Below are 24,134 nucleotides of genomic sequence, written 5' to 3'. Positions count from 1 at the left end.
CAGGCTGATCTTGAACTCCTGGCTCAAGCAATCTTCCCGCCTTGGCCTCCCAAAGCGCTGGGATTACAGGCATGAGCCAGGCACCTGGCCGAGTTTTCCTTTTGAATACAGATCCCCAAGGGTCCTGCTTCAGACCAGCTGAGCCTGAGTCTCTAGATGGTGGCCCCAGCATCTGTATTTTTCTGAAGCTCCCCAGGGAGTTTCTCCTGAGCATCCAGGGCTAAGAGTCATGTCTCAGGCACTCAGGGGCTTCTTCTTCCCTAGGAAGTATAGAGCACCCTGGAAGAATGCGATGCGGGGCTCCAGCCTTTCTCCCACCAAAGACACACACCAGGGTGTGCCCCGGGTCAGTGAGAAGTGGGTTCTTAAGTATTTCTTCAGCATCTCACCCAGGCCAGCTCTCCTTGGGGGCACCAGGGTACATCCTCAGAAAGTTCACAGTCCAGTGAGGGAGAACAAAGTATTTCCAGAAAACACAGCAGGATGTGACCGACATTCTAACAGGAACCAGCCCCTGCCCGGCACCTCAGCTCACATAGACACAGAGGCCCAACAAATACAGAGCCTACAAATCCCCCACAAATTAAATAATGTGCCAGCCACACCCATAAGAATAGATACAGTAAAAACACACACACACACACACACACACACAGAAAATAACAAGTGTTGGCCGGGCATGGTGGCTCATGCCTGTAATCTCAGCACTTTGGGAGGCCAAGGCAGGCAGATCACCTGAGGTCAGGAGTTTGAGACCAGCCTGGCCAACATGGTGAAAGCCCGTCTCTACTAAAAATACAAAAATCATCCAGGCATGATGGCGCATGCCTGTAATCCCAGCTACTCAGGAGGCTGAGGCAGGAGAATCACTTGAACTCCGGAGGTGGAGGTTGCAGTGAGCTGAGATCATGCCACTGCACTTCAGCCTGGGTGACAAGAGCAAGACTCCATCTCAAAAAAAAAAAAATAATAATAACAACAAGTGTTGGCAAGGATGTGAATAAATTGGAACACTTGTGCACTGTTGGTATGAATATAAAATAGTGTAGCCACTGTGGAAGATGATATGGTTGTTTCTTAAAACGTTAAAAACAGGATTAGCATGTCATCCAGCAATTCCACTTCTGGGTATAAAATCAAAGAAACTGGGCTGGGTGCGGTGGCTCATGCCTGTAATCCTAGCACTATGGGAGGCCAAGGCGGGTGGATCAGGAGGTTAGGAGTTCGAGATCAGCCTGGCCAAGATGGAGAAACCCCGTCTCTACTAAAAATACAAAAATTTGCCTGGTGTGGTGGCGGGTGCCTGTAATCCCAGCTACCCAGGAGGCTAAGGCAGGAGAATTGCTTGAATCCGGGAGGTGGAGGTTGCAGTAAGCCAAGATTGTGCCACTGTACCCTAGCCTGGGCGACAGAGCAAGACGCCGTCTCAAAAAAAAAAAAAAAAAAATCAAAGAAACTGAACGTAGGGACTTGAACTGATATTTTTACAGCATTTTATTCATACTAGCTAAAACGTGGAAACAAGTCAAGCATCCACTGATGAATGAATGAATAAACAATGTGGTCTAGCCATACAATGGAATATTATCCATCCAGCCTTTAAAAAGAAGGGAATTCTTCAGCTATTCAGGAGGCTGAGGCAGGAGAATTGCTTGAACCTGGGAAGTGGAGGTTGCAGTGAGCTAAGATCGCACCACTGCACTCCAGCCTGGCAACAGAGCAAGACACAGTCTCAAGAAAAAAAAAAAAAAGAGAAGGGAATTCTTACATGCTACAACACAGGTGAACTTGAAGACATTTTGCTAAGCAAAATATGCAATCACAAAAGGCCAAATACTGTATGGTTCACTTGTATCAGATGCCTAAAGTAGTCAAATTCATAGAGAAAGAAAATAAAACAGTGGTTGCCAGGGGTTGTGGGGAGGCGGCATGGGATGGGGCGTTGTTCATGAGTAGAAGAGTTTCAGTCTGGGAGGACGGAGAGAGTTCTGGAGATAGATGGTGGTAACAGTTGCACAACAATGTGAATGTACTTATGCCACCAAACGGGAGTAAACTTAAAAATTATTGGCCGGGCGCGGTGGCTCACGCCTGTAATCCCAGCACTTTGGGAGGCCGAGGCGGGCGGATCACAAGGTCAGGAGATCGAGACCATCTTGGCTAACACAGTGAAACCCTGTCTCTACTAAAAATACAAAAAATTAGCCGGGCGCGGTGGCAGGTGTCTGTAGTCCCAGCTACTTGGGAGGCTGAGGCAGGAGAATGGCATGAACCTGGGAGGTGGAGCTTGCAGTGAGCTGAGATAGCCGCACTGCAGTCCGGCCTGGGCAAAACAGCGAGACTCCGTCTCAAAAAAAAATAAATAAATAAATAAATAAATAAAATAAATTATTAAGATGGTTGCCCGGGCATGGTGGCTCACACCTCTAATCCCAGCACATTGGGAGGCCGAGGCAGGCAGATCACCTGAGGTCAGGAGTTCAAGACCAGCCTGGCCAAACATGGCGAAATCCCATCTCTACTAAAAAAAAAAAAAAAAAAAAAAAATACAAAAATTAGCCAGGCATGGTGATGTGCGCCTGTAATCCCAGCTACTCAGGAGGCTGGGGCAGGAGAATCGCTTGAACCTTGGAGGCAGAGGTTGCAGTGAGGCAAGATCGCACCACTGCACTCCAGCCTGGGCAACAGAGCAAGACTCTGTCTCAAAAAAAAAAAAAAATGATTAAGATGATTGGCTGGGTGTGGTGGCTCATGCCTATAATCCCAGCACTGTGGGAGGCCAAGGCAGGAGCATCACCTGAGGTCAGGAGTTTGAGACCAGCCTGGCCGACATGGTGAAAACCCCGTCTCTACTAAAAATACAAAAATTAGCTGGGCATGGTGGTGCATGCCTGTAGTCCCAGCTATTCAGGAGGCTGAAGCAGGAGAATCTCTTGAACCCAGGAGGCGGAGGCTGTAGTGAGCCAAGATTGCACCACTGCATTCCAGCCTGGGTGACAGAGTGAGACTCTCAAAACAAAACAAAACAAAACAAAACAAAAGATTAAGATGGTAAACTGTATCCATATTTCACAATTTTTAAAAGTGGGGTTTTTAAAACAAGTCAGGCACCAGGGCACAGGCATGGGATCCAGCTGCCTGAGTTCAAAACCTAGTTCTATGACATGCTAGCTAGGTAGCCTTGAAGTTACTTTGCTTCTGTGCCTCAGTTTCCTCATCTGCAAAATGGGTATAAAAGTAATAATGCCTGGTGTACGAGTCCATTTTCATGCTGCTGATAAAGACATACCTAAGACTGGGAAGAAAAAGAGGTTTAATTGGATTTACAGTTCCATATGGCTAGGGAGGCCTCAGAGTCATGGCAGGAGGCAAAAGGCACTTCTTACATGGCAGCAGCAAGAGAAAAATGAGGAAGAGGCAAAAGCAGAAACACCTGATAAAACCATCAGATCTCGTGAGACTTAATCACTACCAAAAGAACAGCATGGGGAAAACCGCCCCCGTGATTCAAATTATCTCCCACCAGGTCCCTCTCACAACACATGGGAATTATAGGAGTACAATTCAAGATGAGATCTGGGTGGGGACACAGAGCCAAACCCTATCACCTGCCTCCTGGGGCTGTTGCGGGGATGAAAGGAGTTAACCAGTATAAAGTGACTAGCAGAGTGCCCAGTTCACAGCATGTGTTCAATACGTTAACTGCTATGATTACGGTGGTGGTGGCCATGATCATTTCCTGCTCCACACCCTGCTGGAGCCCTGAGGTTCTGAAAGACACTCACAAGAAGCTATGCAGGTCCAGGGACATTTTTAGCGTTTTGGTTTGGTTTGTTTAAGACAAGAAGCCACTTATGAGTATGGAATAAGGACTACGGTGCCGAATGTGGGGAAGCTGAGAAATTAAACTGTGAGGACAGAGGCCAACTCAGCAATAAATAAAATGTCCCTGCCCAGAGCCCAGAGCCAAAAAACCTCTGTCTCCACTTGCAGGGTGACGTAGGCCAAGGCCCTGCCCTCTCTAGGCTTCAGCAGGCCCTGCCCCTCAACCCCCAACCCTGGGAATCTAAGGGCGAGAAGCCAGTCCAAGATCCTGGCGTGTCAGCACATCAGACCCGTGGGGCCCTTTGGAGCCCCAGGGTGGGCTGGGGGAGGTGGATTCCTGAGCTAATCAGAGTTAGAGGGTCTCAGACACATTCAGGCCTTTCTGTTTGGACTCACAGGCTCTATGAGGCCAGACCTGGCAGCTGCTACCAGGAGGCAGCTGTGGGGTAAGAAGCCTCCTACCATCCCTGCTGAGCCTCACCCAGGCCTCCAGCCCGGTTTATCAAGGCTCTGGGGGAGCAGACAACAGCGCATGGTAACAGGCATGGGCCAAACATTTTATCCAAAAGTCCTGGACACAAAGGGCCTTTAAAGGGTCACATTATCCATCTCCTGCCTCCATTGCGCTGTCAGTTTCCCTTTTTTCAAAGAAACACAATTCCGAGGTTGCAAGGTCACCAGTAAACACACAGGGATATGTTTGATGCTGATCGTGGAAACGTGAGTATAATTAGCACATTGACAGTAATCATAATAACAGCTGCCGACAACATGCCCGGCACTGGGCTCAGAACTTCACAGGCAGCCTCTCGGTCAATCCTCATGACAGCTCTCTGAGATGGTTCTACTATTAATATCGTTCCCATTGCACAGACAGGGAAACTGAGGATTGAACTTCCCCTGCGTTTCACAGGCAGCAAGTGGTGAAGCAGAGGACTCAAACCCAGGCTTACAGGACAGGGGAGCCTACCTGCTTTGCTCTATCCTCCCCGACCCAATAACATGGTCCGAATCCTGACTGGCAGGTCCCACTCATGACTGGCAGGTCCCCGGGAAGCCAGAGTTTCCACCCTTGCATTTCCCAGCCCAAGCACCCCAACCTGGCAGTGCGTCTCTTGCACGAGACTCCTGCAGTCTCAGGCCCAGCCAGAGGTAGGTCCCCCATGGGCTCAGCTAGGGGTGGGCCCCAGCATGTGGGGAGCAGGCAGGGAAAGGGCCCAAACCTGTTCCTCCACCCACAGGGGTGCTGGGTGCTGAAAGCATCTTCATGTCGCGACCAGCCCGGTGGGCTCTCTGCGTCACAGGTGGGAGTGTCCAAGTCTGGCAGGTGGCCAGTGGGTGTTCGAGCCTCACCCAGACAGCTCCTGGGCTTCCGCACCCCAACATGGACAGACCCCCATGCTGCCCCCAACACAACAACAGGGGGTCCCAGGAAGGGTGGGGGTAGGCAGAGAGGGATCTCAGATGGAAAGAAACAGGAACTGGGAAGCAAAATCCTAGCATTTGTGTCCCTGCTCAGCTCCTGGCTGGCTGAATGACCTTGAGCAAAATATTCATCCTCTCTAAGCCTTTTGTTCCCTCTCTAAAAAGGAAAGCTTCCAAAAGAAAGGCAGGAACATCCAGACAGCCTTGTTAGGGCTGGGATCCAATGCCCACCCCTGGGGGTTCTGCTGTCTTGCTCCATAAACAGGGAACTGCCGAATGTGGAGCAATCCTTCCCAGGGGGATGTGCCCGGCTCAGTGTTCCCAGCTGCAGCAGGGCCAAGCGCCTGCAGTCGCTGGCTACGGGTGGGGAGTGGGAAGACCAGGCTGTCTGAGGCCCTAGAGACCAGAAATCCACAAACTCACTCGGTTCCCAGTCCCACCCCAATGCCCGCCTCTTCCCACAAGGCATACAGTAGCCACACGGGAAGCCCACGCTGAATAGTGGCGGGGAGTGTGGATGGTGCGGGGAAACCCATCTCTGCTGCTGGACAAATTAACCAAAGCTCTCATCTCCTGCTGGTGAGTCAGCAGCATCCCCAAGTGCAAAGGGAGGCCAGGGGAATAGAATGAAATTGGCAGGGAATTTGGATCCCCCGCTCTGCACCATCCTTGGCTATATTTCCTTGGTGGAGTCAATTCCCTCTCTGAGCCTCAGTTTTCTCATCTGGAAAAAGAGATCAATACTGCCTGTCTGATGGGATCCTCCTGAGGTTGAACCCTATGAAATTCTGGTATCTGCCATTCTTGACCTACGAAAATGGCAATTTCATATATTTCAATATGTGCATGGGTACAGCACATAGGTGACAGCAATAAGCACTGGTCACAGCCAGGCGCAGTGGCTCACAGCTGTAATTTCAGCACTTGAACTCAGAAGCCTGAGCAACAGAGCGAAACTCCATCTCTACTGAAAATCAAAAAAATTAGCCAGGCATGGTGGCACACACCTGCACCCCAGCTACTTAGGAGGCTGAAGCAGGAGGCTTGCTTGAGCCCAGGAGGTCGAAGGTGCAGTGAGCTAGGATTGCACCACTGCACTCAAGCCTGGGTGACACAGTGGGATGCTGTCTTGAAAAAAAAACTGAAAAAAAAAAAAAGAATCACTGATACTTGTTATGACATGAATGACCTCAAAAACATTCTGCTAAGTTAAATATGCCAGTCACAAAAGGTCACATATTGTATGATCTAATTTACATGAAATGTCCAGAACGGGCAAATCCATAGAGAAAGTAGATTAGTGGCTGTGTAAGGCCGAGGAGGAAACTGGTGAAGGGGCACCACTAATGGGTATGGGGTTTCCTTTTGGAGGTGATGAAAATGTTCCAAAATCAGTCATGGTTGAGAGTTGCACATATCTATGAATATACTAAAAACCACTGAACTGTGCACTTTAAAGAGGTGAGCTGGGCTGGGCTGGATGTGGTGGCTCACGCCTGTAATCCCAGCACTTTGGGAGGCCGAGGCGGATGGATCACCTGAAGTCAGGAGTTTGAGACCAGCCTGACCAGTGTGGTGAAACTCCACCTCTACTAAAAATACAAAAATTAGCCAGGCGAGGATGGCGTGCACTTGTAGTCCCAGCTACTCGGGAGGCTGAGACAGGAGAATTGCTTGAAGCCGGAAAGTTGAGGTTGCAGTGAGCCGAGATCACGCCATTACACTCCAGCCTGGGCAACAGAGCAAGACACCCGTCTCAAAAAAAAAAAAAAAAAAAAAAAAGAGGTGAGCTGGATGATAAGTGAATTATATCTCAATAAGGCTGTACTGGAAAAGACAGAAGAGTTCAAGAAAAATGTTTGAAAAACAGCCCAGGTGGTATACACATATCAAGAAAATCCCGAAGTGATACAAGAATGACTGGAGTTTGGAGTTTAAACACGGAGCTCATGCATTAGCTTTACCTAGGTTCAAATCCCAGCTCCACCACCTCCTAGCCGACTGACCATGGGCTAATGACTTAAGCTCTCTCCACCTCACTTTCCTCATCTGGAAATAAGAATAGTTCCTGCCTCATGGTGTCACCATGAGAACTAAAGGACCTAACACAGTACCTGGCATGTCCTAATGGGTTAACAAACGGTAGCATTGGTACCTGTCACCATCATCACATCACACACTAAAGCTCATGGAGGGGGTGAGACCTGCCCAATGTCACAAGGCTGGGAAAAGTCAGGCTGGAAACCTGAACTTCAGTCCTCAGCTTACCCAGAAGTTCTATCTCCCACGCAGCTGAGAGGCCTCACCCAAACCTGCCCCACCCAGACCCAAGTCCGGCTGATAAATCCTTTCCTGAAAGGGAGCAGAGCCTGCAAATCAGCCAATCATTTGCTGAGGGCCTGCCAGGTGACAGGGCCTCCCAGAGCTGGTGAAAGTCCCGTTGTGCAAACCACCAAAGGAGGTGCAGCTGGGCAGAGGGTGGGCAGAGCCAGGCCCGGGTCTACACGGCACATTCAGCACCGGCTTGCTACTATTATTATTAATATACAGTCATCACTATTATTCAGCATCATTATTATTTTCACCCAGATTTTTGGGAGGACCTTATTAGTCATTCATTTGACAAATATTTATTAAGTGTCCCTACTATGTGCCAGAAACTGTACTTGGGACATGGCAGGGAGCAAAGTCCCTGCCCTCCTGGAGCTTCATATTTCCATAGTAGAGACAGATATTATTAGATAAACAAATATATAAATAATTATATGCAATAACCAGGCATGGTGGCTCATGCCTGTAATCCTAGCACTTTGGGAGGCCGAGGCAGGCAGGTCACTTGAGGTCAGGACTTAGAGACCAGCTTGGCCTAGTAGAGACAATCCTGTCTCTATTAAAAATACAAAAAAATTAGCCGGGCATGGTGGCACATGCCTGTATCCCAGCTACTTGGGAGGCTGAGGCAGAATTGCTTGAACCGGGAGGTGGAGGTTGCAGTGAGCCGAGATCACGCCATTGCACTCCAGCCTGGGCAACACAGCGAGACTCCGTCTCAAAAAAAAAAAAAAAAAAAAAAAAAAACCATCATATGCAGTTTGGGGTCTGTACTGAGAGGAGCGAGAGCAGGGAATGGGCGGGTCATGGGGAGGACTGTCCTTTCCTGTGTGCCACCACCCTCCCCACCTGCACAGATGTAGCTTCCTCACTGGCCTCCGGGCCTCCACTTCTGCCCCTGAGCACAAGTCCATTCCCTTTTCAGCAGTCAGGGTTTTTTAAAAGCCCAAACCGAGTCCTGCCATGAAGGGCAACTGCAGTTAAAATGAACCCCACATTGCCCTGCACTAGCCTGGCCCCCTGAACCTCTCCCCCTTGCTCCCTGTGCCTTCAGGTCTTCCAGCACAATGCCCAGCTTGCTCCTGCCTGGGGGCCTTTGCACTTGCCGGTCCTGCTACCTACAACACTCTCCCCGTGGGCTCTTCAGATGGCCCCTTTGTCTCCTTCAGGTCTCAGCACATAGGTCACTTCCTCCCAGAGCCCTCCCCTAGCCACCCCATCGAAAGCAGACACCGTCTTCCACATTACCTTCTTTTATTTTCACCATCGCTCTTAATCATTATCTGAAGTTCTGGTTTATGAACGGACTTTTGTGCCTGCTTCTCCCCACTAGAATGTCAGGACTACGAAGGCACTGAACCCTGCTGCATCCTTGGTGCCCAGAACAGTGCCTGGCACAGAGTAGGTACTTAACAAATATTGTTAGATGAGATGGATGGATGGATGAAAGAAAGAGCTGGAAGGAAGGAAGGAAGGGAGGGAGGGAAGGAGGGAGGGAAAGAAAGAAATAAAGAATAAGTGGATGGAATGGAAGGTAGTAGATGGAAAGAAGGAAGAAAGTACAGGTATGTGGATGGAAGGAAAGATGAATGAAATGATAGATGAATACACACATGGATGCATGGATGCATATATGGATGGATGCATATATGGATGGATGGATGGATGCATGCATGCGTGCATGCATGAGTGGATGAATGGGTAGGTGGATGGATGAATACAAAATGGAGGAATGGATGGAAGAATGGATGGAAAGCAGCTATACGGTAGACAGAAGACTGAATGGGTAGTTCTGACCATATGCTTATGAGCACAGGGTCCTGAATGCAGATCTCTCATGAGCACTGTTTTCTGAGCAGTGAAATAAGGTAAACCATATAAAACATGTAGCAAGTGCTCAATAACCATTAACCATGTTTATGATCAATATTTTAGTTGTTGTTAACCACTGTAATATATCTGTCTGGGTGATAACATTTTGCATAATGTTGGTCTGCCTGCCTACCTACCCATTTTTCCTTCATGTTCTGCAATGATCCTATATGGTTTTAGGAATAAACACCACAGAAAGTTATGTTTAAAGATTCCCATCTCTCTCTAGCATGATCTTGGACTTCAAAGCCCTGACCAGGTAGAAGGGAAACTGAGTCACCAGCTGGGACCCTAGCCTGTTCCAGGCACCTACCCTCCCTCAGTCCCCTCCCACTAGACACACCCTGGAACATGAAACCCCCAAGTTCATGCTCCCTTTGGAAGCACTGCTAAAGAAACCTCTCTGGAAACTGTGGCACGTTAAGAATTCCAGCCTGTTTGAGGAAGCACTCAGGCCACAGCCCAGGGGAAGCCCAGGTAACCCCCCAACCCTCTACCTACAAGCCAAACTCTTTCCTTCATGATCCACGACCCCCCCAAAAAAATACCAATTTCTGGGTGCAAATTCAGTACCACATCCCACAGCAGCCAGATGGATCACCCCCAAATTTGAGAGACACTGGGAATGTACCATGTTGTGGGTACAACATTCACACTGGGGGACCCCAGGGGATAACCCCAAGATTTAGCAGCCATCCTTCAGGGAAACTAAAACAGAGAAACAGGGCTCAGAGCATCATAAACTAAAGGCAACCTGGCATGGCATTGAGGTGTCATGAACAAGAAAAACAAGGAGCTTTTCTCAAGAACAGCCCCAGGAGAAGACTCACTTCTACACAAGGGGTAGATGCCCAAATTTGTGGATATTCGGTTGGCAAGGGAGCTATGTCTCACATGGACAGCTCTGGGTAGTACCAGCAAAAATAGGAATAACCACTATGGCTGTCCTTCATTGATCACTTCCCATGTGGAATCAGACAGCTAGATAGTAGTATCAATGACAGCAGCTGGCTAGGCGTGGTGGCTCACACCTGTAATCCCAGCACTTTGGGAGGCCAAGGCAGGTGGATCACCTGAGGTCAGGAGTTCAAGACCAGCCTGACCAACATGGTGAAACCCCGTCTCTACTAAAAATACAAAATTAGCTGGGCATGGTGGCACGTGCCTGTAATCCCATTACTCGGGAGGCTGAAGCAGGAGAATCACTTGAATCCGGGAGGCAGAGGATACAGTGAGCCAATATCACACCATTGCACTCCAGCCTGGGCAACAAGAGTGAGACTCTGTCTCAAAATAAGTAAATAATAAATAAATTACAGCAGCTACAGTTGATTACGATGATTGAGTGAGATAGTGCATAGCAAGTGCTTAGCACAGGGTCTGGCTCAGTCTGCATTGTTGGTGCTGTTATAAATATACTAGATCAAGCTTGTCTAAACCATGGCCCTCGGGCTGCAGGACAGCTTTAAATGAGCCCAACACAAATTCATAAACTTTCTTAAAATGTTATGAGTTTTGTTTTGTTTTTTTTTTTAGCTCATCAACTATTGATAGTGTTAGTGTACTTTATGTGTGGCCCAAGACAATTTTTCTTCTTCCAGTGTGGCCCAGGGAAGCCGAAAGATTGGACCCCTGTACTAGATGATGATGATGATGAGAAGGAGGAAGAGGCACTGACGATGTGCCTGGCTGTGCTAGGAGCCTTTACATGATAAAGGCACATCTACCCTATTAGGTAAGCCCTACCATTAGCCTCATTTTATAGAGACGGAAACCAAGGATGGCCCAGGTTGTATAATGTATTGGTTCAAGGTCACAGAACTAGTACAGCACAGCTTCACTTCCCTACAGATGTCTCCAACCCCAAACTCCCCTCTGAAAACCAGGCTCCATGACCTGCCCTGCCCTATGGCTCCCCCAGCCCTTTCCTCTCTCTGGCCTTCTGGGATCCTGCAGTGTCCAGGTGACATCATGGCTTTCAGACCTTCTTGGAGGTAGTGGGCCGACCTTGTCCTTCTCCCCTGGTGTCTCGAGCCTGTCCTCCAGAAGCCACTGCTGAAGTCAGCGGGGGAGGTGGAAGGGTTCTTGGTGAGCTCATTTTACAGGGGCCACCTCCCAGCCTGCTGGGACTGTCCGGTGGCTTTAACTTGGACAATGCCCAGGCCTCAGCAGGGACAGGAAGCATCCCGGAGTGATAAAGATCAGGACTGGTTTGAGAGTTTGCCCAGAGTGCTTTGTGTGAGTCAAACTCCCTGGCCCAAGCCCCGTTCTGAGCAGTTCCCACCTCGGCTGTGCCTGGCGGAGGGGGTCTTCTCTGAAGCCTGTTGTCTAAATCCACTACTTATCAATTACAGCATCCATAGAAGGGGCCCCTCTCTAAACAGTGCACAGACCTTCACTCATTTAATCCTCATAGCAACCCAGTTTTACAGAGCAGAAGCTGAAGTTCATACTGGGTAGTGATCTCCCTACGGTCACAAAGCCAAGCGGTTACAGAGCCAGGGTGGAATATAAGCCGCCTCAGTATAAAGCCCACATTCTACATGTGCCCCAAGACACGGAGCTGAAATCTCAATCAATATGTATGTATGCAGAGTGTGATGAAAAGTCTAAATCACAGCCCAGAATATTAGCACCAGTTATCTTTAGAATGTGGGATTATGGATTTTATCTCCTTTTTATTTATCTGTACAGGCAGCCCTCAGTATCTGTCGGTTTCACATCCAAGGATTCAACCAAGCTCGGATGAAAAATATTGTTTTTAAAAAATGGATGGTTGTGTCTGTAATGAACATGTACAGAGGTTTTTTTTTGTCATTATTCCATAAACAATACAGTGTAACATCTCCTTACCTAACACTTACATTGGATTAGGTATCATAAGTAATCTAGAGATGATTTAAAGTATTTGAGAAGATATGCGTAGGTTATATGCAAATACTACACCATTTTATATACAGGACTTGAGCTTGCTCAGATTTCGGTATCTGAGGGAGATCTGGAACCAATCCCCTGAGTATACCAAGGGACAACTACATTTTGAAATGTTCAACAACAAAAACGAGGCCGGGCACGGTGGCTCACACCTGTAGTGCCAGCACTTTGGGAGGCTGAGGTGGGCAGATCACTTGAGTCCAGGAGTTCAAGACCAACCTAGGCAACAATGGGAGATTCTGTCTCTGCAAAAAAATTTTAAAAATTAGCCGGCATGGTGGCACACACCTGTAGTCCCAGCTACTCAGGAGGTTGACGTGGGAGAATCGCCTGAGCCTGGGAGGTCAAGGCTGCAGTGAGCCATGACTGCACCACTGCACTCCTACCTGGGTGACAGGGCAAGGCCCTGTCTCAACAAAACAAAACAACACAACACAAAACAAAACAATAAAACAATAAAAATGTATTGCTGCATAATAAGGACAAAAAGAGCATAAAAATTATCAATTTGGAAAATAAAAAGAGAGTCATCTCATGCCCAACACATGCATGGTGTGGAGGGGAAGCCAAGTAAGCAGGCGGGTCCCCCAAAGGATAAGATTATGTAATCAATAAAAGTCTGGGAATGTCTCAGTACTCCAGACAGCTCCATGCACACAGTGGGGGCTTTACTTAACATCACCACCCACCCAGATAGAATCGCACGGACACTCCATTTGTCCCAGTGTCCACCGTGTGACCCTGCTAAGAGCTCCCAGCCAGGCTGAAAGACAGAGATCAGCACCCCCATTCCATGGGTGTGGATGCTGGGGTGGATACAGGAAACCATTCCCATGGCTGGGGAGAAAACAGAGCCAGGACATGACTGCGGGCTGCATGGCTCCGGACCCAGGTGGCGTCTTCTACTATAGGCTGCAGCTGGATTCACAGCACAGCCACCTTCCCGGGGTGACTCAGGCCTCAGGGACAAGAACTGGATGGCACCCAGAGAGCCTCCAGGCATGCCCAACAGACTCCAACCAAAGCCAGGGAAGATGGCTCACACCTGCTCTGCTAGGTCAGCCAGCATTCTGGGCATTCCAAAAATTCCTCCATGCTTTTTGCTGCCTTCTCCCCTGCCCCGCCGCCCCCCTTCCCTACCTTTTAATGAATTAAAGGACAGGAAGGCAGAGGGGCTGTGATTAAGACATCTGCATCAAGGCAGGACTTGGAAGCATTACCACTGCCTTTCTCGAGTTAAATCTGACAGTAACCAGGCACCTCGCCTCTCCAAGAAGAAGGTGGTCTACTGGTTGCCAAAGCGTCCTGTCTCATCCAAGTCTTTTTTTCTTTTCTTTTGAGACAGAGTCTCACTCTGTCGCCCAGGCTGGAGTGCAGTGGCATGATCTCGGTTCACTGCAAGCTCCGCCTCCTGGGTTCACGCCATTCTCCTGCCTCAGCCTCCCGAGTAGCTGGGACTACAGGCACCCGCCACCACGCCCGGCTAAATTTTTGTATTTTTTAGTAGAGACAGGGTTTCACCGTGTTAGCCAGGATGGTCTCGATCTCCTGACCTCATGATCCGCCCACCTTGGCCTCCCAGAGTGCTGGGATTACAGGTGTGAGCCACCGCGCCCGGCCCTCATCCAAGTCTTAAGTGTGTCAAGGGAAACGGTTTTGCTTCAAGGCTGGGGGACAATGGGGCCGAGGCTGGGATCAGAGCCCTAGGCCTGCTGCTCTCTGCCTCCTCTTCTCTGTCCTCCTTGAGGGCGGAGGCCAGGCCCCAGGCAGCTCTGAGGCCCAAGGCCCAGTGCAGGCCTTGGTAAACAGTAGATGCTCAACAAATAACAAAGATGAAAATGATCAACTATCCCAAGAGAAGAAAGGACACACAGCACTGGAACTTCCGATGGGAGAGAAGGTATTTCTGATGGAGTCAGAGCTTTGCAGGAGGAAGACCTGAGTTCAAATACAGGCTCTGCAGCCTCTTACCCCAAGCTTATGACATTGAGGAGGGCTTTATCTTTCTGAGCCTCCGTTTCCTCAACTGTAAAGGGGGTTGGTAATACCAACTGCCTGAGTCATTCCGAGGATTTGACAAGAAGGCACCTAACAGTACCTCCCTAACAAGGGACTTGGCACACAGTAGGCCCTGTCAGCAAATTGTGATTTTTCTAGGCCCTGTCTTTTAAAAGGCTGGTTTTAATTCTTCCCAGAATGTATGGCAGAAATAAGAGGCTCTAGAATCTACCTATCCAGTTCCTTGTCCTCCTGTAAAAAAAAGGTCCAGAGAGGGGAGGGGGTATACTCAAGAACACACAGCACAGAAGCTGGACTAAAACTCAGGAGGCCTGACTTCAGGCCTAGAACCCATTCATTCATTCGTTCATTCATTTGTGACAGGCTCTTGCTCTGTCACCCAGGCTGGAGTGCAGTGGCACAATCACAGCTCACTGCAGCCTCAACCTCCCTGGCTCAAGCTATCCTCATGCCTCAGCCTCCCGAGCAGTTGAGACTACAGGTGTGTGCACCATCACGCCTGGTTAATTTTTTAAATTTTTTGTAGAGACAGGGTCTCACTCTGTTGCCCAGGCTGGTCTCAAACTCCTGGGCTCAAGCAATCCTTCCACCTCGGCCTCCCAAAGCACTAAGATTACAGGCATGAGCCACCATGCCCAGCCCAGGACTCATTTTAATACATTCTATATTCTCTCTCATTGCCTAGAACCTCTTCACTTGATAAGCACAGTCCCAGGTATGCAGGTGAGCAAGCATTCTAGAAACAAAGACAAGCACTTTCCAGTGCTGGGGCCTAAAATGAAAGGGAAAGACAAACTTGGGCAGCTTCCCAGGCCAAAGGGCACTGGGAGTTCCCTAACCAAGCCACTCCCCAGCCCTGCCCAGGGCACTGGGCAAGGCTGAGCGGGCAGTGCCTGCCAAAACCCAGGCTTCAAGTCCAGACAGGCCAGGTGGTGTGAGTGTACAGTGACCTCGGTGCACCCAATGCACCCGCTGGGCTCCCCTTCTGCAGGGAGGCCCTACAGACCCAAAATTTCCTTCCCTCGGCAGTGCTCGCTAAGCCATCGGTAAACAGGACTCCCCAGAAGAGGCTTTCCTCCCTGAGGAAGCAAAACAAAAAGGAAAGAACTATCAACACAAAGTCAGCTGGGAGCCTCAGCCCTGACCTGGGGCCTGTGAAAATACAGCTGTTTCTCCAACAGGCAGGGGTATTACACTGGAATGAGATTCTCGTGTATTAATAACAAAGCTCTAGTCCTCCCTGCCTGCCACTAGCTGCGAAGCAAGGCGTTTCACCTCTTGGAGCCCCAGTTTCCTCATCTATAAAATGGGAATAACACTACCATTTTTCTTCATAGGTTGTTATGAGGATCCTATAAACACACAAAATCTATGTCAGAGGAACTGGCCTATAAGAAGCAGTGAATCAGTGTTAGTTTTTACTTTTTATTACTGCCATTGTTGCTATTTCTGCTACTACAACAAGCAAGGAAGATTTACATTATGATTTATAAAATAATTCTTTGGGACAACTTACACACATTTTTTAAAACCTTAAGCTCATCCTTTTCTTTTTTTTTTTTTTTTTTTTTGAGATGGAGTTTCACTCTTGTTGCCCAAGCTGGAGTGCAATGGCACAATCTTGGCTCACTGCAACCTCCACCTCGCGGGTTCAAGCGATTCTCCCGCCTCAGCCTCCCGAGTAGCTGGGATTACAGGTGTCGCCACCATGCCCGGCTAATTTTTTTGTATTTTTAGCAAAGACAGGGTTTCACCATGTTGGCCAGGCTGGTCTTGAACTCCTGACCTCGTGATCTGTCTGCCTTGGCCTCCCAAAGTGCTGGGATTACAGGTGTGAGCTACTGCGCCTGGTCTAAGCTCATCTTTTTATGGGGGAGGTCTCCCGTTTTTTTTTTTTAAACGGAGTTTCATTCTTGTCACCCAGGCTGGCGTGCACTGGCGTGATCTCAGTTCACTGCAACCTCAGCCTCCCGGGTTCAAGCGATTTTCTCGCTTCAACCTCCCGAGTAGCTGGTATTACAAGTGTACGCCACCATGCCTGGCTAATTTTTGTATTTTTAGTAGAGACAGGGTTTCACCACATTGGCCAGGCTGGTCTCGAATTCCTGACCTCAGGTGATCTGTCTGTCTCAGCCTTGCAATGTGCTCACACACATTACAGGTGTGAGCCACCGTCCCCAGCCGAGGTCTCCCTTTTTTTTTTTTTTTTTAAGAGCCTACTATGTGCCAGAGACTTTATAAATGGTTGCTGTATCTAATCTTACAATGACCTCATGGAAGAAATTTTGTCATCTTCTTTCTGCAGAAGAACTGAGGCTCAGGGAGGTGAAATCACTCGTGCAAAGCCACACAGCATCAACATGTGGGAACAGGATCTAACACTAGGATTTTTCGGCTCTGCCCATCCTGCTTCACCACCAGAAGGGCACCAACAGGAGTGATTCAGAGCATGGTGGCTGGAGTCAGGCTACATGGATCCACATTCCCCATTCCCAGTAGTATGGTCCTGGGCAAGTGACTCCTTCTCCAAAACTCAGTTTCCTCACCTGTAAAATGGAGTCACAAGAATCAAATACAACAATGTATAGGGGTAGGGCATGGTGGCTCAGACCTTTAATCCCAGCACTTTGGGAGGCTGAGGCGGAAGAATCACTTGAGACTAGGAGTTCAAGACTAGCCAGGGCAACATACCAAGATCCTGTCTCTACAAAAAAATTTTTTAATTAGCTGGACATGGTGGCGCATTCCTTTGGTCCCAGCTACTCAGAAGGCTGAGGAGAGAGAATCACTTGAGCCTGGGAAATGGAAGTTGCAGTGAGCTGTGATAGCGCCACTGGACCCCAGCCTGGGTGACAGAACAATACCAAAAATAACAAATAAAAAAAAAAGTACATAGGAAAATGATGAGCACAGAGCCTAGGACAGAGTTAATACTCACTTGTTATTTTTGTTTTTTGTGGGGTTTGTTTTTTGTTTTTTTGTTGAGACAGAGTCTCCCTCTGTCTCCCAGGCTGTAGTACAATAGCACAATCTTGGCTCACTGCAACCTCTGCCTCCCAGGTTCAAGCAATTCTCCTGCCTCAGCCTCCCAAGTAGCTAGGACTATAGGCATGCACCACCATGCCTAGCTAATTTTTCTATTTTTAGTAGAGATAGGGTTTTGCCACGTTGGCCAGGCTGGTCTCAAAATCCTGACCTCAAGTGATCCGCCTGCCTTGGCCTCCCAAAGTGCTGGGATTACAGATGTGAGCCACCGTGTCCAGCCCTATTTTTGTTTTACTACAGATAACATTATTATTCTCAAAAGTGGGGTCTGCATAAAGATGAGTGGCAGCCTCAGTTATCTCCTGCAAACTTTTTTTTTTTTTTTTTGAGATGGAATCTCGCTCTGTCACCCAGGCTGGAGTGCAGTGGCGTGATCTTGGCTCACTGCAAGCTCCGCCTCCCAGGTTCACACCATTCTCCTGCCTCAGCCTCCTGAGTAGCTGGGAATACAGGCACCTGCCACCACGCCCGGCTAATTTTTTGTATTTTTAGTAGAGACGGGGTTTCACCATGTTAGCCAGGATGGTCTTGATCTCCTGACCTCGTGATCTGCCCGCCTCATCCTCCCAAAGTGCTGGGATTACAGGTGTGAGCCACCGCACCCGGCCTATCTCCTGCAAAACTTCTAAAGGCAAAGAGTCTAGGCAGAAGCCAGCGCACAGGTCAAGGGCTGCCGTTTCTCACCACCAATGACACAGTGGCCCATCTGAACAATGTGCAGACAGGAAATGCTAAGAGAAGTGGAGCCAGCTGCCCAGGGTCACACAGGAAGCAACCCCAGATGCTCCCTCCCCACCCAGCTTACTTTGGAAACCCACCCGTGACACCCAGCAGATTCTCATTCTCCCCAGACTTGGCATGAGATCAATACAGGATACTTTTTTTTTTTTTTTTTTTTTTTTGAGATGGAGTTTCACTCTTGTTGCCCAGGCTGGAGTGCAGTGGCGTGATCTTGGCTCACTGCAAGAGCCGCCTCCCAGGTTCAAGTGATTCTCCTGCCTCAGCCTCCCAAGTAGCTGGAATTACAGGTGTCCGCCACAAAGCCCGGCTAATTTTTGTATGTTTAGTAGAGATGGGGTTTCACCATGTTGGGCAGGCTGGTCTCGAACTCCTGACCTCAGGTGATCCGCCCGCCTCGGCCTCCCAATGCATGACACATTTTTATGGAGAGATGCCCAACTGAAGGAGAGAGTGAGTGGCCTCTAACCGTGCAGCTAGCTCAGTGACCCCTGCGGATACTCATAAACCTGGGCTCCCAGAAGCCTGCTGAGTGCATTCATAGTGGCGCCATGTGAATACTTCTTAGATCAGAGCTCCCCGTGACTCTTTTCTGGCTGGGTCAGGGCTGCTTCAGGACTCAGGAGGGCTGTGTGGCTGGTAAAGGCACTTTGGCCATCCTCAAAGGCCTGCTCTGGACTGACCCGTATCAGCTACAGCAGAAGGGGGAAAGCGCACCGGCTCAGATGCAGGGCCCCAAAAAGCATCTGCTTCTCATCATTCTTTTCCCCAAGGCCCTGGTGGCTCCCAGGAAGGGAAGCAACCTCTCTGGGCCTCCGTAGACTAATAATAATACTAGTAATCCTAACGATACTAGCTAAGGCTCATGTAAATTCATTAGCAAGTGCCATATGTGTTAACACATTTAATGCTTGTCAACCTCATGAGGCCAGCTCTCTTATTACTCCCAGCTTACAGATGAGAAAACTGAGGCCCAGAGTGGTTAACTGCCTTGCATAAGGCCACACAGCTGGTAAGCGGTGGAGCTGGGATTTGAATCCAAGCAGTCCGGCTCCAGGTTCCCTGCAATATTCCCAAGGGAATGGGTGGCGGAATTCCTCATTCTGCCCCTATCAGGACCCCCTCAGCTCCATGCCAATCCTCACAGCCACCATCTGGTTATCATCTACCTCATGCCAAGCATTTCACAGTCCTCGTTAATGGGCACAAGCACACTGTGACCCTTTTACAGACAGGCAAACTGAGGCTGAGGGATGTGATGAGGCTGATCAAAAGTCACGTGGCCCACAACGAGCACAGCTGGGATTCAAACCCAGGCCTATCCCTCCCAGTCTCACCTTGGCGTCGCTGCGTTCTCTCACTCTACTGGCTACAGGTGTCACTGCTCAGGGGATTGTAAGCCAGCTCCAGCACAAAAATCATCATCAAGACAATCATCCCTCATTTCCCATCTCGCCTCACAGGTATAAAGCACCTTCTTATGCAGTAATATCTCTGAGCTTCCCAGCAGCTCGCCAGAGAAGACAAATTATTCCCATTTTCCAGATAAGGAAACTGAGACTCAGTTGGTGAACTGCCTGTCTCTGGTTATAAACTCAAACCAGGTCTCCTTACCCAGAGCCTCTGCTCTGCGACCACTTGTCCCACACAAATCATGAGCCATGATTCTTACCCATGCCCTCCAGGCAGACCCTCTACTCCTGCAAGGACCCGTCCTACCCCATCAGAAACATAATTGTGGCAGGTTCTATTATTGCTCAGCAAATGTTTCTTCAGCCTCCATGAGAGGAGTAGACTTCAACTCATTGATGTCAGGCTTGCCACGTGACTTGCTTCAGCCTATAGCATGAGAGCAGAAGTGACAGCTTCTCAGTTCAGAACGGAGGCTTCTGTTGTCCACCACAGAAGAACACGCCCTGGCTGGCTGCCACCCTTCAGCCTGTGAATCTGGATGAAGATTCACGAGCCAGACCTGAACCCAATCCAAAGCCTAGGGCCAGCCTTGCTGGTGAAGCCTAGCTAAGGTCAGCCAAGCTACCTGCTGACTCGTGAGCATGAAACAAATGTTTGCTGTTAAAGGCCACTGCGATGTAGGAGATGTTTGTTACACAGTATGATCACAGAAAAGCTTGACTAATACAGGGACCACGTATGTCCAGAAAGACTCGTGTGTACATGGGCAAATATCTTCCGAGACAGAGTCTCCAGCAGTTTGTATTAAAACCCAAGGGCCAGGCTGGGTGTGGTGGCTCACATCTGCAATCCTACCACTTTGGGAGGCTGAGGCAGCAGGATCGCTTGAGGAGTTTGAAACTAGCCTGGGTAATGTGGCAAAATCTCGTCTCTACAAAAATTAGCCAGGCGTGGTGGTGCATGCCTGTAATCCCAGCTACTTGGGAGGCTGAGGTGGGAGGACCACCTGAGCCCAGGAGGTTGAGACTGCAGTGAACTGAGATCGCACCACTGCATTCCAGCCTGGATGAAAGAGCAAGACCCTGTCTCAAAACAAAAACAACAACAACAAAAAGAACCCCAAGGGCAACAAAATGTTGTCACTTATAAGAACTCTCACCTTCCCTCAGGCCAGAGGCCATGTCCTATGGCCAAAGACAAGAGACAGCCAAACACTGTTCCTTCTCTCTGAAATATACAAAGAGGCTGTCTCTCGCACAGCTGTGGTAAGAGTGTGAAAGGTATAGCCACTCTGCTGGGAAATTGGGCAGGTCATTTCAACGTTCTAAACACCCTTCCTCCCTAAAGTTCCACATCCTGGAAATCTGTCCTCCAGCCTACTACAACAAATGTGCAAAGACATGTCAACAGGGATGTTAACTGCGGCACTCGGTCATAGCAAAAAAAAAAAAAAAAAAAAAAGAACCTGAAAAACAACTCAATGTCCATCAACAGGGGATCGGTTAAATAAGCTCATAGCACCTCATGCACTGGAAATTATTCAGTTTTTTCTTTTTTTTTTTTTTTTTTGAGACGGAGTCTTGCCCTGTCACCCAGGCTAAAGTGCAGTGGCGCGATCTCAGCTCACTGCAACACTCGCCTCCCTGGGTTCAAGCAATTCTCCTGCCTCAGCCTCCCGAGTAGCTGGGATTACAGGCGCGTGCCACCATGCCTGGCTAATTTTTGTATTTTTAGTAGAGATGGGGTTTCACCATGTTGACCAGGCTGGTCTTGAACCCCTGACCTCAAGTGATCCGCCCGGCCGCCTAAAGTGCTGGGATTACAGGCCCGAGCCACCACAGCTGGCCTTATTCAGCTTTTAAAAATAATGAGGTAAATCAACACATTCTGAAATGGGAAAGTACCTAAATCTATTTTTAATTCACGTGTGAAATTATTTGTTTTATTTTATTTATTTATTTATTTATTTATTTATTTATTTATTTGAGACGGAGTCTCACTCTGTCGCCAGGCTGCAGTGCAGTGGTATGATCTCGATTCACTGCAATCTCCCTCCCAGGTACAAGTGATCCTCCCGCCTCAGCCCCACGAGTAGCTGGGACCACAGGCGCCACCACACCTGGCTAATTTTTGTATTTTTAGTAGAGACGGGGTTTCACCATGTTGGCCAGGCTGGTTTCGAACTCCTGACCTCAAATGATCCACCTCCCTCGGGGTCCCAAAGTGCTGGGATTACAGGCGTGAGCCACCGCGCCCGGCCGTATTTCATATTCTTAATGGAGACATGGCTATAGAACATTTCAAAGGTCACTTAACTGAGCAATTAACAAATGTAGCTGTGATAGCTTCTGCCCAGAAGTCAAGTCCATAATTATTTGCTTACTTGTCTCACCTTGCCCCCTTCCTTCTTCTCGTACAGTTGACCAGAGGATTCCTAAGGGCAGGTGATCTTTTGAATTTTTCACAAATAGAGTGCCTTGCCCACATAAGATGCTCAATAAAATATTCATTGCATTGAAGGAAAAAATATATATATGTGTGTGTGTGTGTATGTGCCTCGATTGTTTGTTAGCTTCCTTTTATTTTTACTTTTTGAGACAGAGTCTCACTCTGTTGCCCAGGCTGGAGTGCAGTGGCACCATCTAGCTCACTGCAAACTCCACCTCCCAGGTTCAAGTGATTCTCATGCCTCAGCCTCCTGAATAGCTGGGATTACAGGCAACTGCCATCACGCCTAGCTAATTTTTTTTAATTTTATTTTTATTTTTTTTTAGTAGAGATGGGGTTTCACCATGTTGGCCATGCTGGTCTCAAACTCCTGCCCTCAAGTGATCCGCCCACCTCTGACTCCCAAAGTGCTGAGATTACAGGTTTGAGTCACTGTGCTTGACCAGCTTCCTTTTATTTTTAATTTTAATTTTTTAAATTTTTATGTATTTATGTATTTATTTATTTGAGACAAGGACTCACTCTGTCTCAGGCTAAAGTGCAGTGGTGCAATCAAAGCTCACTGCAGCATCGAACTCCTGAGCTCAAGCAATGCTCCTGTCTCAGCCTCTGAATTAGATGGGACACAGCCTGACACACTGCCAGGCTAATTTTTTTTCTTTTCTTTTCTTTTTTTTTTTTTTTTTTGATACGAAGTTTTGTTCTATCGTTCAGGCTGGAGTGCAGTGGCACAATCTCGGCTCAGGGCAACCTCCACCTCCCAGGTTCAAGCAGTCTGCTGCCTCAGCCTCCCAAGTAGCTGGGATTACAGGCATGTGCCACCATACCTGGCTATTTTTTTGTTTTGTTTTGTATTTTCAGTAGAGAGAGGGTTTTTCCATGTTGGCTAGGCTAATCTTGAACTCCTGACCTCAGGTGATTCACCTGCCTCTGCCTCCGAAAGTGCTGGAATTACAGGTGTGAGCCACTGTGCCTGACCGCCAGACTAATTTTTAACCTTTTTTTTTTTTTTTTTAAGAGACAGAGTCTTGCTCTGTCACCCAGGCTGGATTGCAATGGCATGATCTCAGGTCACCACACCCTCCACCTCCGGGGTTCAAGGGATTCTCCTGCCTCAGCCTCCCGAGTAGCTGGGATTACAGGTGCCCCACCACCACGCCTGGCTGATTTTTGTATTTTTAGTAGAGACGGGGTTTCACCATGTTGGCCAGGCTGCTCTCGAACTCCTGACCTCAGGTGATCCGCCCACCTCAGCCTCCCAAAGTGCTGAGATTACAGGCGTGAGCCACCTCACCCGGTCTTAAATTGTTTTTTCAGAGACAGTCTCGCTATGTTGCCCAGGCTGGTCTCAAACTCCTGGGCTCAAGCAATACTCCCATCTCAGCCTCCCAAAGCGCTGGGATTACAGACAGGAGCCACTGTGCTTGGCCTTAGCTTCTTCTTAAATGGCAGCAGTTTGAGTAGTGAGACTAGGCAGAAGCACCCCTCCTTGTGTTGGGAGCCATGCAAGTGGGAAGGGCATGGCTTTGAGGCAGACAGCTTTGGGTTCAAATCCCAGCTCTTCCACTTTCCCGCTGCGTGACCTCGCAGCACATCAATAACCTCTTGAAGCCTCAGTTTCATGAACTGTAAAGTCGAGGGTCTCAAAAACAGGCACCACCTGGGTTTGTTGTAAAATATTAAAAAAAAAAAAAAAAAAAAAGGCCGGGTGCCTGTAATCCCAGCACTTTGGGAGGCCGAGGTGGGTGGATCACATGAGGTCGAGAGTTCGAGACCAGCCTGACCAACATGGAGAAACCCTGTCTCTAATAAAAATAACAAAATTAGCCAGGCGTGGTGGCACATGCCTGTAATCCCAGCTACTCGGGAGGCTGAGATAGGAGAATCACTTGAACCCAGGAGGTGGAGGCTGCAGTAAGCCGAGATCCTGCCATTGCACTCCAGCATGGGCAATAAGAGCAAAACTCCGTCTCAAAAAAAAAAAAAAAAAAAAAAAGGAACAAAAGAGCTTAGCCCAGATTCTGGCATAACAGCGCAGCTCTGATGCACTATGTGCTTTACCTACATTCTCCCCAGTCCTCCCA

The 24,134-nt window shown here is 48.7% G+C and overlaps 1 protein-coding gene across 5 annotated transcripts in view, besides 2 other annotated features; it reads right to left on the bottom strand.

The window, feature by feature from the left end:
- The window catches only part of KIAA1671, a 244,733-nt gene that overhangs the window by 215,731 nt on the left and 4,868 nt on the right, over window positions 1-24,134 (bottom strand). The gene's annotated exons all lie outside the window — the stretch shown is intronic.
- Window positions 11,557-12,140: an enhancer, noted in NCBI's record as "H3K27ac-H3K4me1 hESC enhancer chr22:25365545-25366128 (GRCh37/hg19 assembly coordinates)". NCBI's record gives its function as "activates a minimal SCP1, AML or CMV promoter by ChIP-STARR-seq in naive H9 embryonic stem cells {active_cell/tissue: H9 hESC(naive)}" and the evidence as "EXISTENCE:reporter gene assay evidence [ECO:0000049][PMID:30033119]".
- Window positions 22,831-23,330: an enhancer, noted in NCBI's record as "H3K27ac hESC enhancer chr22:25354355-25354854 (GRCh37/hg19 assembly coordinates)". NCBI's record gives its function as "activates a minimal SCP1, AML or CMV promoter by ChIP-STARR-seq in primed H9 embryonic stem cells {active_cell/tissue: H9 hESC(primed)}" and the evidence as "EXISTENCE:reporter gene assay evidence [ECO:0000049][PMID:30033119]".

The sequence above is a fragment of the Homo sapiens genome, chromosome 22 (assembly GCF_000001405.40).
Source record: "Homo sapiens chromosome 22, GRCh38.p14 Primary Assembly".
Taxonomy (NCBI): Eukaryota; Metazoa; Chordata; class Mammalia; order Primates; family Hominidae; genus Homo; species Homo sapiens.
The sequence above is the reverse complement of the archived record's forward strand: the minus strand, read 5'-3'. Positions and strand labels throughout refer to the sequence as shown.